This window comes from Homo sapiens, chromosome 15 (assembly GCF_000001405.40).
Source record: "Homo sapiens chromosome 15, GRCh38.p14 Primary Assembly".
NCBI lineage: Eukaryota > Metazoa > Chordata > Mammalia > Primates > Hominidae > Homo > Homo sapiens.
Window position 1 is genome coordinate 93,012,173 of NC_000015.10, and position 16,161 is coordinate 93,028,333.

General features: G+C 42.9%; 1 protein-coding gene across 1 annotated transcript in view; it reads left to right on the forward strand.

Annotated features, from left to right (window-relative positions):
• CHD2 (chromodomain helicase DNA binding protein 2) overlaps window positions 1–15,824 on the forward strand; it is a 127,673-nt gene extending 111,849 nt beyond the window's left edge. Inside the window, exons 36-39 of the mRNA NM_001271.4 lie at window positions 173–272; window positions 2,524–2,737; window positions 7,840–8,086; window positions 12,200–15,824. Coding sequence (NP_001262.3) covers window positions 173–272; window positions 2,524–2,737; window positions 7,840–8,086; window positions 12,200–12,533 — 895 coding nt within the window. The 3' untranslated portion in view covers window positions 12,534–15,824. The remainder of the gene's footprint in view (window positions 1–172; window positions 273–2,523; window positions 2,738–7,839; window positions 8,087–12,199) is intronic.

The following is a 16,161-nucleotide window of genomic DNA, read 5'->3' on the forward strand; positions in this document are numbered from 1 at the left end:
TAGGACTTACTGTATTATTAATGCAAATACCTGAAATAATATTTCTGTAGCTTAATTTCTATGCTTAGGGAGTATACCACAGCAAAATTTAATAGCTTGCCATCCATGAAGATCATAAAAAATTGCTTTTCTAATTCTATAATTCACCAGAACTGTTCATTTTTCTTTTTAGGAACCTATGGATTTTTGTTTCCAAGTTTACAGAATTTGATGCTCGAAAACTGCATAAGTTATACAAGATGGCTCATAAGAAAAGGTCTCAAGAAGAAGAGGTAAAGTACAAATTCAGTCCTAATTCATACAAACAAATACCAATTCCACAGAAAAATCTCTTAATTTTTGTTTTTCCATGGGGAGATGATCACAGAATCATGGGTTATTGCTGGTGCTAATAGTCAAACAATAAGACCAGATGGGTGAAATAGCCAATGTATTGGAGCCTAACATGGTTGAAATTCTGACAAAGAGTGTTTACCCTGTGTTTTTAGGTCCTAAAATCATTTGTTCACCAGGTTTTTTCTTCCATTTGCATTTTTCTTCTGTACATGTCAGTAGCTTATAAATGTGGCTCCTAGGAAGTAATAGGGTGGTGGGCAGAAAATACTTTTTCTCTTCTTTTCTGGACCATCTATTTGGTGTCCTTCCAGCTTTTGTATGGAAGGGGTCCTGCTACTCACTTGTGAGAGGTGCTCAGAAGTTGCCTCTCCTTTGGAATAGGGGGATGGGTGCAGAAGTGACATGGAGGAGGCTGCAGAGGCAGTGCTCCTTGTGTGGGTGTGCCCATTTGCAGATCTGCTGACTTGCCACATGGGCTGTACCCAAGTTGGACATTGAGTTCAATCTGTGAGCATTAAATACCACCTCCACTAATGCGTCAGCTCCATGAAGACAGAGATTTTATGTCTCTCATCTACTGCTGTGTTCTCAGCACATAGAATGGAATAGAATGGTGCTGGGGACAGGGAAGCACTCAGGAGTATTTGTTATGCTGTGCCCAGTGCTGTGTTGGCCTGTGAAGCAGCACCCTCAAGTAGTTGATGATTTAATTTTACATGGAAGAATATGTTATAGCAGTAACATACAGGAATCATATACTAATAAGCATTATAAAAAGTCTATAAATGGATAGTCCGGAAAGGCCCCAGGAGGGAATGAAATAGTTAGGAAAGGCCCTTTAGAAGGGAGTGAAAATTAGGAAGAGGGTCTGAAGTTGGACACATAATCATGAAAGACTTCATTCATTTAGGGATCAGAATGAATAACAAAACAGTATAAGCTGAATAACAAAAACAGTGGTATCCTACTAGTGGGAGTATACATTGTCACAACCTTTCTGGAGGAGAATTCAGCAAGATTTATTAAAAGACTAAAGCATGCAGTTTTGCTTCCAGGAATTTAGTTTTGAGAAGGAGATAGAGATTTAAACATGTTTATAATGGAAATGGCTTGGAAGCCCAACAGTAAGAAATACATTCAATGTGGCTAGGCGCGGTGGCTCGTGCCTGTAATCCCAGCACTTTGGGAGGCTGAGGCGGGTGGATCACTTGAGGCCGAGAGTTCGAGACCAGCCTGGCCAACGTGATGAAGCCTCATCTCTACATAAACTACAAATATTAGCTGGGTGTGGTGGCACATGCCTGTAGCCCCAGCCCCTCAGGAGGCTGAAGTGGGAGGATCGCATGAGACCAGGAGGTGGAGGTAGCAGTGAGCTGAGATGGCATCACTGAATGCCTGCGACAGAGTGAGACTCTGTCTCAAAAAAAAAAAAAAAAAAAAAAAAAAAATACAGAAAACAAAAACATTCAGTAGTTCATGATATATCCATATTGGGGAGTATTAATCAGTTATTAAACATAATATTGTAGAAATAAGTATTTACATGGAAAGATTTTCACAATACATGAAGTGAAAAATGAATACCAAATATTTTTGTTTAAAATATAACTACAAAAAAAAGCTTAGAAAAATACGTGCCAAATTATTAACAGTAATTCCCTTGCTGGTTAGGATTTGGGTCACTTTATTTTTTTTATTGTGTGATTTTTTTTATATCAAACATTTGACTTGTGTGATAAGGAGTAATGTTACTCCAACATTCAGATATTTAGCTTGATGACTTGGGCATAGGAGTTAGTTCCCACTGGACAGTCGAGGGTTGTTTGTTGTGGTTAGCCTTGGAAAGTTGGTAGTCTTGGTTTTACATGGTCCAGGATGATCCTCTGAGAGTGCCGCCAGCCTGGGCGCCTACACCATACCCTGTACAGTGACATCTAGCAGTCTATGCATGTGTTCTTGCAGGTACTTAGCAGTAATGGTCAAACTCAGCATAAATTCCACTGAGTTCCCCCAGCAAATAGCCTAACAGTGGAATTTATGAGCCTTTTTTTTGTTAGGAGGTAGTAAACGCCAGTTCAGAAGTTTAAGAAGGACAAGAAGGAGCTGTTTAGAGGTGATAGCCTTTATTCTTCTCTGGGGAATTAAGCCTGGGATCTTGAGCTTCTTTGGTTTCCTTTTACTCTTTAGGAGCAAAAGAAGAAAGACGACGTGACTGGGGGTAAGAAACCATTTCGTCCAGAGGCCTCAGGCTCCAGCCGGGACTCTCTGATATCTCAGTCCCATACCTCACACAACCTTCACCCTCAGAAGCCTCATTTGCCTGCCTCCCATGGCCCACAGATGCATGGACACCCAAGAGATAACTACAATCACCCCAACAAGAGACACTTCAGTAATGCAGGTAGGTCATTAAGTGGAGTTTTTAAAAGAGGTGCCAAAAGATAAAAAATTCACACAGCCGTTTCATTTTCCAAAGACACTGGCTAGACTTCTGTGCTTTATTATCTTCTAACACTTTATTGTCCTCTCTTTTCTTAATGAGAGAAAGCATGAAATAAAGATCCCCCAATTTTTTTTTTTGTTTGTTTGAGACTGAGTCTTGCTCTGTCACCCAGGCTGGAGTGCAGTGGCACAATCTCGGCTCACTGCAACCTCCACCTCCTGGGTTCAGGCGATTCTCGTCCCTCAGCCTCCCGAGTAGCTGGGATTACAGATGTGCACCACCACGCTGAGCTAATTTTTAAATTTTTAGTAGAGACAGGGTTTTGCCATGTTGGCCAGGCTGGTCTCAAACTCCCGGCGCCATGTGATCTGCCCACCTCAGCCTCCCAAAATGTTGGGATTACAGGTGTGAACCACTGCGTCTGGCCCCCAGGACTATTATTTCAACTTCCGATTAAGAAGAACCCAGCTAACATGAACAAACGAAAAAGACTGAGGGAGAAGTTTACATTCTGTATGACAGTGAAATGGTTAAAACTGCTAATCTTGAAAGAGCTCTTGTAAATTGAGAACAAAACAATAACTGAATAGAAAAATGGGCAATCAACAGAGTGAAGAGACAGTTTATGTAAGGGGAGAAAATATTACCAACCGTACATCTGATAAGGGGATAATATCCAAACTGTGTAAGGAACTCAGCTCCTTATGTAGCAGGAAGGCAAATGCTCGATTAAAAAGTGGGTAAAGGACCTGAATAGACATTTCTCAAAAGAAGACATACAGATTGCCAACAGGTATATGAAAAAATGCTCAGCATGACTGATCATCAGGGAAATGCAAATTAAAAGCACGATGAGATATCACTTCACACTTGTTAGGATGGCTAGTACCAAAAAGTCAAAAGATAAGGGTTGCCAAGGATGTGGAGGAAAGGGAACCCAGCGCATTGTTGCTGGGAATGTAAGTTAGTGCAGCCATTATGGAAAACAATGCAGAGATGCCTCAAAAAAATCACAAACAGAACTACCATATGATGCAGCAGTCCCTTTACCAGGTATATATTCAACGAAAATGAAATCAGTTATGTTGAAGAAATGCCTGCACTTACATATTCATTGCAGCATTATTTACGATAGCCAAGATACGTAATCATCCTAAGTGCCCATCAGCAGGTGAGTGGATAAAGAAAATGTGTATATACACAATCGAATAGTATTCAGCTTTAAAAAGAAGGAAATCCTGTCGTTCGCAACAACATGGTTGAATCTGGAGGGCATTTATGTTAAGTGAAATAAGTGAGGCACAGAAAGAGAAAAACTGCATATTCTCACTTACGTATGGAATCTGAAAAAGTCAAACTCATAGAAGCAGGGAGTAGAACAGTAGTTACCAGGGTCGGAGGGCAGGGGAGAATTGGGAAGATATTAACAACGGAGATAAAATTTCAGTTAGATATGAGGAATAAGTTGAGAAATCTGTTGTACAGCATGGTGACTGTAGTTAATAACAATGTATTATATAAGTGAGGTAGTGCATATGTTAATTAGGCTGATTGAGCCATTCCATAATGTATATGTATTTTAAAACATTGCATTGTAATCAATAAATACATACAATTTTTAATTGTCTATTAAAAAATTTGTACAGTCTGGGCAACATAGACTCAGTCTCTACAAAAGTGTGAAAATTAGCTAGGCGTAGTGGCGTAGTAGTCCCAGCTACTTGGGAGGCTGAGGTGGGAGAATTTCTTAGGCCTGGGAGGTGGAGGTTGCGGTGAGCCAGGATTGCACCACTGCGCTCCAGTCTGGGCAATAGAGTGAGACCGTCTCAAAAAAAAAAAAAAATTGCAGTTTTGAAACAAAACTCAAAGGAATCCAGATTGAATTAAAATTTTGGAAATTTGATTAGAAAAAAACTCTGTGGAGCTTATCCATTGTTTTAAAACAAAATGAGCAAAAGTTATGAATTAGACAGTTCATGTAAAAGAGAAAATTCAAATGGCCAATATGACGAGATGACCAACCTTGCTACTAGGAAAATATAAATTAAAGCAACAATAGGTTAATCAATTTTTTTACCCATTCAGATCATCAAAAATTAAAAAGGGAAATACACACCGATTGCTAAGAGTGTGAATTGCTATAATCTTTGCAGAAAATAATCTGAAAACCCACTCTGCGGGTTGTCTGTTCCTCCAGCAGTGGTCCCTGCCTGGGAAAGACCCAGATCCTTAGCCTGTTGCAGGTGCTCAGGATCACTGATCTCTTCAGTGGTGACAGAAGTCATCTCTTAACTCTTTGAGGTTTTCTGCTCTGTGGAATCTTAGTCCTTCTAGTCCTCATTGCTTTAGCTGCTCTTTGATGCCTTTAAACACTTCTTTCTTTTTTTGGGAGATGGAGCCTCGCTCTGTCACCCAGGCTGGAGTGTAGCGGCGGCACGATCTTGGCTCACTGCAACCTCCACCTCCCGGGTTCAAGCGATTCTCCTGCCTCAACCTCCCAAGTAGCTGGGATTACAGGCACACACCACCATGCCGGGCTAATTTTTTTTTTTTTTTTTTTTTTTTTTTGTATTTTTGTACAGACAGGGTCTCACCATGTTGGCCAAGGTGGTCTTGAACTCCTGACCTCAGGTGATCCATTCGCCTCAGCCTCCCAAAGTGTTGGGATAACAGGCGTGAGCCACTGCGCCTGGCCTAAACGCATTCTTTTTAATCTTCCCTTTCTCATTGTTTTTGGCAGGATGTAATTCTGCTACAAGCTACCCTGCCTGGAAGCATTACGTTCTATGTTCTGTAATCTTAAAAATCTGAGTTCAAAATTATTTCATCACCATTTTGTTGAGGGAAAGAAAGCTAATGATTTTGCAGAATGATTGGGAAATGTTTCCCTGTTCTTAGATGTAGTTGCATCAGTTATACTGGCTTTTTTCTAGTATTAGGCTGTTTTTGTGTTTTGTATACGATGTCACTTATTTTATATTCTGAATCCTTTACAATAACTTCTTACTAAATACATTCTTTTATTTAAACCTTGGATTCCTCACCCATCTTTTTAATAGCTCAATACTTTGTAACCTGTGATTTACCTCACAGAGGGTTTAAGAAGAAAGAAAATCTCTTTGATTTACTCCAGAAAAAATGAACTAGCTTGAGTTTTAAGCACCTCTACAAAACCACAGACATTGACACCCTGTTAGAAATCTCACTTTCCATTTGATATGAAGCCATCCTCAAGTGATCCTTCGCATATTTAGAAGGTGTCTCTTTTTGTTGTTATTTGTTAATTCTTAGGGTGAATAGTCAAAAGTTTTTTACTTTGTGGTGCTCTCATCTGATCTACCCAGGTCAGCCATGAATTTAAGCCACTGGTGGACTGTACATCATATTAATGCTATCAGTTTCTGAGCTCAGCACTTCCTTAATGGTGTTGTTCTTCAGCTCTGTAGAAAAAAGCTGGAAGGCCAGTAAAATGAGTAGAGACACTTATTTGGTGGCATGTCTTTGATCTTCACATAATTATAGACAGAAGATGGATTTTTCCATGAGGTCATAGGTTCCTTTTGGTTAGTCCTCTGTATTAGTTTCCTAGGGCTGTATATAACAAAGTATCACAGACTAGGTGGCTTCAAACATCAAACATTTATTTTCTCACATTTCTGGAGACCAGGAAGTCTGATATCAAGGTGTCAGCAGGGTTGGTTCCTTCTGGAGGCTCCGAGGGAAAAGCTGTTCCATGCCTCTCTTCTGCCTTCTGGTGGCTGCCAGCAGTTCTTGGCGTTCTTGACTCACGCCGATTTCTGCCTCCATCTTTGCATAGCCTTCTCCTATGCATAGCCTGTCATAGCTCCCTCTGCCTTTATTTTGAAAGGATGCCTGTCCTGGAATTTGTAGCCCAACCTAAATTCAGGATGATGTCATCTAGAGATTTTTAACTTAATTACATCTGCAAAGACCTAGGTAAAATCACACTCACAGGCTCTGGGTGGACATGACATTTTGGTAGCCACAGTTTAACTCTCCATCCCTGGACTTCTGTGTCTTCACTACATTTTCTGATTCAAGTGAGTATGATTCTTTTCCTTAGGAGAAAAGGAAGGCTACAGAAGTTAAAAGGATTGTAGTTTGGCCTTAATCCGTAAGAGACAGAGCACTGATCCAAGCTCAAAGTTAGAGAAATTACTTTTTTATAGGAGGAGGTCCATTTTTGTGTGTGTGTGCAGAATAGGGAAGAATAATAGAATCGGTGAGTGTAGTCTGGAGAGATTTTCAGAGACCAGGCACAGCAGGTACCAGCAGGTGAAATAAACGTTAGATGTGTAACCGGAGGATATTACTCGCAGCTGTGAAACTCAGCGGTATCATTTTCTGAATTAGTTTGGTTTTGTTGTTAAGAGTCTGCCACAGATTGGAAGGTTAAACAGGTATGGAGAGTGAAAAGCGGTAGTTGTTAAGATTTCAGAAGGAGAGGAGTAGTAAATTTTGCCTTAAAATTTTGTTGGAAAGAATGTTTAGGAGTCATTACTGATACGTTAGCCAGCAGCAACAAGACCAAGAAGAAAGAAATTTAATGTCTGTTTGTAACATGTGTCAGGCTTTCAGTTTGAACTTCAGCAAAGTAGTGCTTACTTCAGCAGCATACCTACAAGAATTGGAACAATACAGAGAAGATTGGTGTGGAAGAAAACAAAAATAAAAAATAAGGCTGGGCGTGGTGGCTCACAGCTGTAATCCCAGCACCTTGGGAAGCTGAGGCGGGCGGATCACCTGAGGTCAGGAGTTTGAGACCAGCCTAGCCAACATGGTGAAACCCTGTCTCTACTAAAAATTCAAAAATTGGGCAGGCATGGTGGCGGGTGCCTGTAGTCCCATCTACTTGGGAGGCTGAGGCACGAGAATCGCTTGACCCAAGAGATGGAGATTGCAGTGATCTAAGATCGTGCCACTGCACTCCAGCCTGGGCAAACAGAGCACGACTCCATCTCCAAAAAAAAAAAAATTGTAGTGAAAGTGAAATTCATCCATTTCTTGCAGTCATCAGATCATTCTTTCTTTTCCTGCAGATCGAGGAGACTGGCAGAGGGAAAGAAAGTTCAACTATGGTGGTGGCAACAACAATCCACCATGGGGAAGCGACAGGCACCATCAGTATGAGCAGCACTGGTACAAGGACCACCATTATGGGGACCGGCGACATATGGATGCCCACCGTTCCGGAAGCTATCGACCCAACAACATGTCCAGAAAGAGGCCTTATGACCAGTACAGCAGTGACCGAGACCACCGGGGACACAGAGATTATTATGACAGGTATGCAAAAGGCTGTGAGACACCAGGTGCCAACCTTTGCCAGGAGCTGTTTCTAGGGAGAAAGTGACGTATACATGAATGTATTTATCTATCAAATTACTGAAGATCTCATCATGCATGTGTCAGCCACAGCGAATCCCATGTCTTGGTTATAGGTTTTATGTTTTGTTTTGTGGGTCATAGGGAGCACATTTCACCTGTGCAGGAAAAGAGTTTTCTGCCGTCTTTTGAGGAAATCTAGTGAAGAGGTCGCCATAAAATATTAGAGTCAACAACCAAAATTATTAAGCTCTGTGCGAGGCTGTCAGCCACACTAGGTATCAGGGATCCCGAGATGGGTACCAGCCCACAGTCCTTACCTGCCACGAGCCCATAATTGAAGAGTCAAAGTCTTCTGAAGCTGCACCCTCTTTACTTCAGTACAATGCCACCAGTAGTACGATGAGCCGAAGCTTTACATTGTGAGAGTAGCAAGTCCAGGGAGAGCTAAAGAGGTTTTATCTGTATTTCCTAATTTCAAATCTTGGATAATTTAACCTCATAGCAGCTTTGGTTTTCCCTGGGCTGATGATGTGCGTCATTTGCACTGTACCTTGAATTTACAGTGGGAAAATTTCATATAAACGTGTCAAAGTCGTGCTTTGTTTTTGGAAGATCTGGTAACAGCAGCCCGCATTAGCAGAGAGCTGTAGCTGAGTAGCTGCCACCTCGTTGGGAGACTGCCCCTCGCTCCCACCCTTCTCTATTGTCTGGACCCAGTGGGCATCTTGCCCTGCGTTCTTCTAGTAGGTCTGTATTTCTATTTGATGTCACTTTCCTTTTGCCTGAAGGACTTTTTCTGCTGGTGATAAACTCTTTCAGTGTTTGTATATATGCCTGAAAAAGTATTTTGCCTTCATTTTTGAAAGTAGTTTTTGCTGAGTGTATACATTTTTGGCTTTACAGTTTCTTTCAGTGCTTTAAAGATGTACCTCTGCTATTTACTTGCATTGTTTTGTGATGAAAAATCTGTCATCCTTATCTTTGTTCCTCTTTACATAATGTTCCTTTTAAAAAAAATCACTGATTATGATGTGCCTTGGTGTATTTTTCCTTGGTTTCTTGTGCTTGGAAATTTTTGAACTTCTTGGATCTGTGGGTTTATTGTTTCCATAAAATTTGGAAATTTTTACAATCTTCTTCAAATATTTTTTCTGATCCCCCACTCTCTCTTCTTCTTTGGAGATTCTCATTACACCTATATTAGCTTGCTTGAAGTTGTCTCACAGCTCACTTGTATTCTGTTGACTTTTAAAAAATTATGCTTTCTGTTTCACTGTGGATAGTTTCTATTGCTACCTCTTCAAGTTCACTAATACTTTCCTTTTCAATGTCAAGACTGCTGTGAGGCCCATCCAGTGTACTTTGCATTTTATACATTGTAGTTCTAAAAGTTCGGAAAGTTGTTTTTGGGTCTTTTTATATATGTTCTGTGTCTAACCTTTTAAAACCTGGAACACAGATATAACAATGGTTTTGATGTCCTTGTCTGCGAATCTTATCACTTGGGTCAGTTTCAGTTGATACCTCCTCACTGTGGGTCTTGCTCCCCTGGTGCTTTCTGTGCCTAGTAATTTTTGTCAGATGCCAGATGTAACATTTACCTTGTTGGGTGCTGGATATTTCTGTATTCCTGTAAGTATTCTGGAGCTTTGTTATGAGTTGCAGGTTATTTGGAAGCAGTTTCCTTTTTCAGGTCTTGCTGTTAAGATTCGTTAGGTAGAACCAGAGCAGTGCTCAGTCAAGGGCTAATGATTGCCCACCCCCAAGGTAAAGAGCCTCATTGCACTCTACCCAATTGCGTTAGTCTGTTTTGCAGGAATACCTGAGGCTGGGTAATTTATAGAGAAAAGAGTTTTATTTGGCGCACAGTTCCGCAGGCTGTACAAGCATAGCACCAGCATCTGGTTGGCTTCTGGAGAGGCCTCAGGGAGCTTTTACTCATGGTGGAAGGTGAAGTGGCAGTAGGCGTCCCATGGCAAGAGAGGGAGCAAGAGAGAGAGGAGGAGGTGCCAGCCTCTTTTAAAGCACCAGCTCTCACGTGAACTCAGAGAACTCACTCATTATCACAAGGACAGCACCAAGCCATTTATGAGGGATCTGCCCAAACACCTCCCACTACAACATTGGAGGTCACATTTCAACATGAGATTTGGAGGGGACACATACCCAAACCGTATCACCATCTGGAGGTCTTTGGTGTGGCTGGTGAGAACAGGCACGATGCCAGTTCTTTGTGAGCACAGGGCACTGTTACCTTCAGTCTTTTCGGGTGGTCCTTTCCCTGGCCTTGGGTAGTTTCCCCACATGCACATCCTAAGCAGTATTCAGCTGTATACCTGGGAACCCTCTGTAGATCTTCAAACTTCTTTCTCTGCAGCACTGTCTTCTCTCATGCCATGCCCTGTGAACTCTGGCCACCTTGGTTCCCCATCCCTCACCTTGGGAAGCCAACTGGTGTCTTTCTGGGTTTCCTTCTTCCTGTGTCACAGCCTGAGGGACTATCTCATGATAGTGAACAGGAGCCGTTAAAAGGCTCATTTCATTAGTGTCCATTCCTCAGGGATCACTGTTCTTCATTGCCTGATGTCTGGTGTCTTGAAAACCACTGTTCTATGCATTTTGTCCCTTTTGGCTGTTTCAGGCAGGATGGTAAATCTAGTCCCTGTTATTCCATTTTGACTGGAACTTGAGATTGCTCACTTCTTCCTCCCTCTTTCTTTCATTGAGGTGAAATTCATATTACATAAAGGAACTATTTTAAAGCGAACAACTGAATGACCTTAGTGCATTTATAATATTGGGCAGCCACCACTTCTATCTAGTTCCAAAACACTTTCATCAGTCAGAGAAAACCCTATAACCATTAAATAATCCTTCCCCATTATTCCCTCTCCCCAGCCTCTGGCAGCCACCAGTTTGCATTCTGTCTCTCTGGATTTGCCTGTTCTAGACATTTCATATAGAAAGAGTCATACAATATGTGACCTTTTGTGTCTGGCTTCTTTCACTTAGCATAATGTTTTCAAGGTTCATTCATCAGTACTCATTCCATCCTTATGGCTGAATAATATTTCGTTGTGTGGATATATACCACATTTTGTTTATCCATTCATCTGTTGATGGACATTTGAGTTGTTTCCATCTTTGGGCTGTTGTGAATAATGCTGCAGTGAAGATTGGTGTACAGGTACTTGACTACCTGTTTTCAGTTTTGGATATGTGCCTGGGAGTGGAATTATTAGTCATATTCTTTACGTTTTTAGGAAACACCAAAATGTTTCTACGATGGCTGAACCATTTTACATTCCTACCAGCAATGTGTAAGAGTTGAAGGTTTTCCTTATCTTTGCCAACACTTATTTCCTGGGTTTTTTTTTTGTGTTTTTTTTTAATGAGTATCTCCATCTTCGTGGGTGTGAAGTAGTCTCATTGTGGCTTGAACATGCATTTCCCTAGTGATTAATGACATGGAGCATCTTCTCATGGTTTTTTTTGGCCATTTGTATAGCTTCTTTGGAGAAATGTCTGTTCAAATCCTTTGCCTGTTTTTGAGTTGGGTTGTTTTTGTTGTTGAGTTTTAGTAATTCTTTTTTTAATGGTATCATGAGCAGTTTACCATGGTCCAAGCTAAAAATTTTAATACTCTTCACACTGAGTTGGTTTTTAAGATAATTTTATTAACTAGTCACTCACTTGTTGCATATTTAGGTTGATGGTGTTATTAATAACTTACAAAATAATTTCTGTGGCTCTTTTTCTCATGGGCTGGGTCCAGGAATATGGTAATGTTTATGGATCTTACCAGATTTTTCCTAAAGGGAGTGAGTTTGCAAAAGCCATCAGTAATTTTTCAAGTGTGTACTTGTGTCACTGCACACTTGAGCCTTATTTCATAGGATGTATTTTGCTAATAAGTGTAAAATGACTCTGTTATTAATTTTTTTGATTCCTAATAATGTGAGCATTTGTCCTTGAATATGAGTATATGAGGAAGAGCCAAGTGGGTAGTGAAGAGAAGTGGATGGGAATCTGGCTTCAGTCTTTCGACTAATCCTTGCATCTCTATTTCAGGCACCATCATGACTCCAAGCGGAGGAGATCCGATGAATTTAGGCCTCAAAATTACCACCAGCAGGATTTCCGACGAATGTCTGATCACCGCCCCGCTATGGGCTACCATGGCCAGGGACCCTCAGACCATTACCGCTCTTTCCACACAGATAAACTGGGGGAATATAAACAGCCTCTACCCCCATTGCACCCTGCAGTCTCAGATCCTCGCTCACCCCCTTCTCAGAAATCTCCTCACGATTCCAAGTCACCCCTGGATCATAGGTCTCCTTTGGAGAGATCACTAGAACAGAAAAACAACCCAGATTATAACTGGAATGTTCGGAAAACATAAAGGACAGCTCGTAAAGGAGAGAGTAAGAGTCACCAAACACGTGGATATTTTTGGTCTGATCCTACAGTAGCCGGTTATCTAGACCAGTAAGTGGAGTTTTGGACATGCTGCTGCTGTCAACTCACTGGCTGAAGGAGCACTTCAAGGAATGGGAGGCCTTTCACTGGGTCCAGCTCTGATTCGGGTCACCACTCCTGCACTTTGGCACCCCATCCCATTCCAGCCTAGTTCTGGCCTCCCACTTTGACGGGCACTTGGAGGAGGAGCTGACTGTGTGTGTACCAGCTTCACTGGGATGTGTTTCCCCAGTCAAGGAACAGGGGATCTTCAGAGTCATGAATGTTTTCTTGCCAGGGTCAGTGTTCCCAGGACCTTAGTGCATGGTCGGGGCAGGAACTGGTGCATGGAGGCTGCTGGGACCTGGTGAACAGTGTGTGATTTGGTTGATTTGGTTCACTCTGACATGATGGATGCTGCTGATGGGGAGTGGCGAGTTGGGGCAAGCGGGTGGGGACAAGCATAGGACTTGAAGGGGAGCAGGTACACCCCTCAAATGTGTTCTTGGGAGAAGTGATACACTCGGCCTCATTATGTGAAACCTGTGGGTGGGGTTGGGGTGGAGAAGTAGAGAGAGGGCAACAGCTTCCACAACTGCTTCATCTCTGCCAACACTAATTTTTCCCACACTGTCTTTGTACATTTCAGAGCTTTGGTCTCCTGAGTGGGCCTCCTTTTCCCACTGTGCCAGGGAAGGTAGGTTTCTCTGGCTGACTGAGTACTGTGAGTGAGGCAACACTGATGCCAGCATGGGTCTTACTTGACTGGGGAGTAGGCTGAGTGAGGGGTAGGGTGGGGTAGGTGGGGAGTAGTGTGGCCAGGGAACTGGAATCCCTGGTGGATTTCTGATTCCTGTGGTGAGAAGGAAAGCTACAGGACCTGGAGAAGGGGATGCAGAGGCAGGCCTGCTGACCAACTTGTTGCAATCACAAAGGTGGGGGTCCTGGTGCAGGCAGTGAACAGGCTTCTAATGTGGGGTTCAGTAGTGCCAGCAAGTGGGGGAAACTTTCAGTATTGCGCTAGGTCAACACTTCCTGCTGCATTTCCTTCCCTTTGCACAGCTTGAAGAAATAGAGTAGACAGAATCACACATCATGTGGTGGGCAGATGGAAATAAGTACCTGTGGTGAACAAGTTTCTACTGTAGTTGGAGATCATTAGAATTGAATTCAGTTTCTCTTAGAATATAATCAGGTATAAACCTAAGTTAAACTTTTTCCCAAACAAGGAGCATCCAAAGACACAGTGACTTGAGCTATAGATAGTAAAAATCATACGAGAGTTGAACTGAGTCAGGTTTAGGAAGCAAGTTTGGTTGCATCAATTAAGCAGGCTCTTTTCAATTGACTGATGCTGGGGCCTTCAGTTTTATTCTCAGTATAGATTGCCAGTATTGTTAAGAGTATCCAAAGGCCTTTCTAGATGGAGACAGAATAACTGACTTGAACATACAGTGTGCCTGTAAGTGTCCAGGCTCAGAGCTGGTGAAAACCCTTCTGTTGGGCGTGTGCAGGGTTAAACTCCTGAAGTAACTTGTGAGGACTTCAGTGCTTGCTGGTGTCCTGGGCAGCACCATGAATGCCTTTACCAAGACATGCCAAGTTGGATCCCCCGAATGAAGCAGATGTGGCTGTGGTGTGACCCTTGCTCCCTGCTACACAGAGCATCGCAGGGCTGGCCTGTGTGGTTTCCAGATGAGGGTCTGGGTCCCGGAAGCTTGTGTTGAGAGCTCAGTGGACCCACCCCGCTTGCTGAACCCTCACAGTTCTTGGGGTTGTCCAGCCTGGACTTGTAGCACACATGTCCTGAAGCAAAGCTCCGGTGACTGCATGAGCCACCTGGCCACAGTCCTCCCATGGAGGGCCTGCCGTGACGCTCAGTGGAGAGGGCAGGGCCTGTGTCTCCACTTAGGCCACACAGTGATGAGGAAACCACAGATGGAGCTTCTTGCCGATAATACTGACTCTAGCCCATGATTGCCTTGCCCAAGCCAAAGAGGAAGGTTAGGTTGGCTTGTCGAGCCCTTGAGCGTTGGGAGATGGGGTGGGAAGGAGGTGAGCCCCTGCAGAGAGTTGGGTAGTGTCCTTCAGGAATGAAAGGAGGGGCAAAGGAGTCACCAGAGGTCCTGCATTTCCATCAGGGTTTCCACAGTCATCAGGGCTTCTCTCTTGAGTTGCTGATAGGAGATGTGAGTTATGCCCAGAGATGTCTTATCGTGAGGAAAAAGAAACTTCCTTTTGTTCACATTTAGGACTCTCAGTGCCATATGAAGTAGCAAAAGGCAGTATCGGCCAGATCAGTGTTACATTGATTCTAAAATTACAGTGTCCCCATTAGACAACTATTTTAGGTGCTGGAGTATGTTTGAAGAGTGTGCTGGGAAAAAGGAAGCATTTCTTCATTGATTTAAATCAGTATGAATATTATATGCCTAAATAAAAAATTTGCACAGGTAAATTCTCTCACTTGTGAATGGGAGAAGCTGCCCCAGGAATCTGTGAGGATGGTATTCCCTGGAGTCTGGCTTTGAAAGATTTCATTGTTGGTAGAAATAACAGGTTGAGAAAGAGGGAGTTAGCATCACCTAAAACCTGCACGTGAACAAGGGTTGACATGATACACTATGGCCTTAGAAAAGGGCCAGGTGAAACCCCAAGCTAATCACTGCGGTCTTTCAGAGCCGGACAGACAGGTGCCAGCAGAGCCCGGGGCTCACTCTCCTTTCAGTCATTCCTCAGCCCTTCGAAGGGAAGCCCAAACACTTTGCACGCTGTGCTGCAGACATTCTGGCCTGGTGTGTCTGAAAGTTGCATCAGTCCTCACGGTGCAAACACAGTTGATTTAGGAAGTCACACAATGACACTGAAATCCTACAGACCAAAATCCACTTGTCAGCAGGAGCAGCAGCCCAGGCCCAGCACCAGCGGTCTTCCGGCTCCTCTGAGGGCTGCCACGTTGGGCGAGGGGAGCCATGCCAAGGGTCCAGGCTGCTTTAGGCCATCTGTGCCCCACTCATCTGGGGACAGATGGTTTTTCTTTATTGTAAAATTGTGGACTTTTAAAACCTGTTGACTAAACAGTAATTAATTTATATTTGTGAAAAATGCCACTGTCCTAGTGATTTCTGATGTAAATAATGTTGTTTATATAGTATGTATTAAATTTTCCTACATTGTAAAACTGCTGTACTTTTGATTCTTGTATATTAAAAAGTGTTACTGAGCATTTTTAGAATTGGGCTAACACGTTGCATTGCATTGTGGTGTGAGCTCTGTGACTAGAGATACCGCCTTGTCTACCTTCCCTCGTTGGTTGCTGGGTCACATCCAGATGTTTTGACAGCTTGTGAAGTGGAGTCTTTTAAAGTTGCATTTCCCTCCATCCAGTACCAGTTGCATTGTTGCGTACCGGCCTTAACACCACAGATACCTAAGCTGTTCCTGAGTATGCCGTCGTCGAGGTGAACAGCTCCCTGGCCGAGCAACTCCAGGCTGTGGCCCACAGCTCTGCACTTGAGGGAGGGCCAGGGTTGCCGAAACCGGTAGTTAATTCCCGTGGGTTAGTCCTGCCT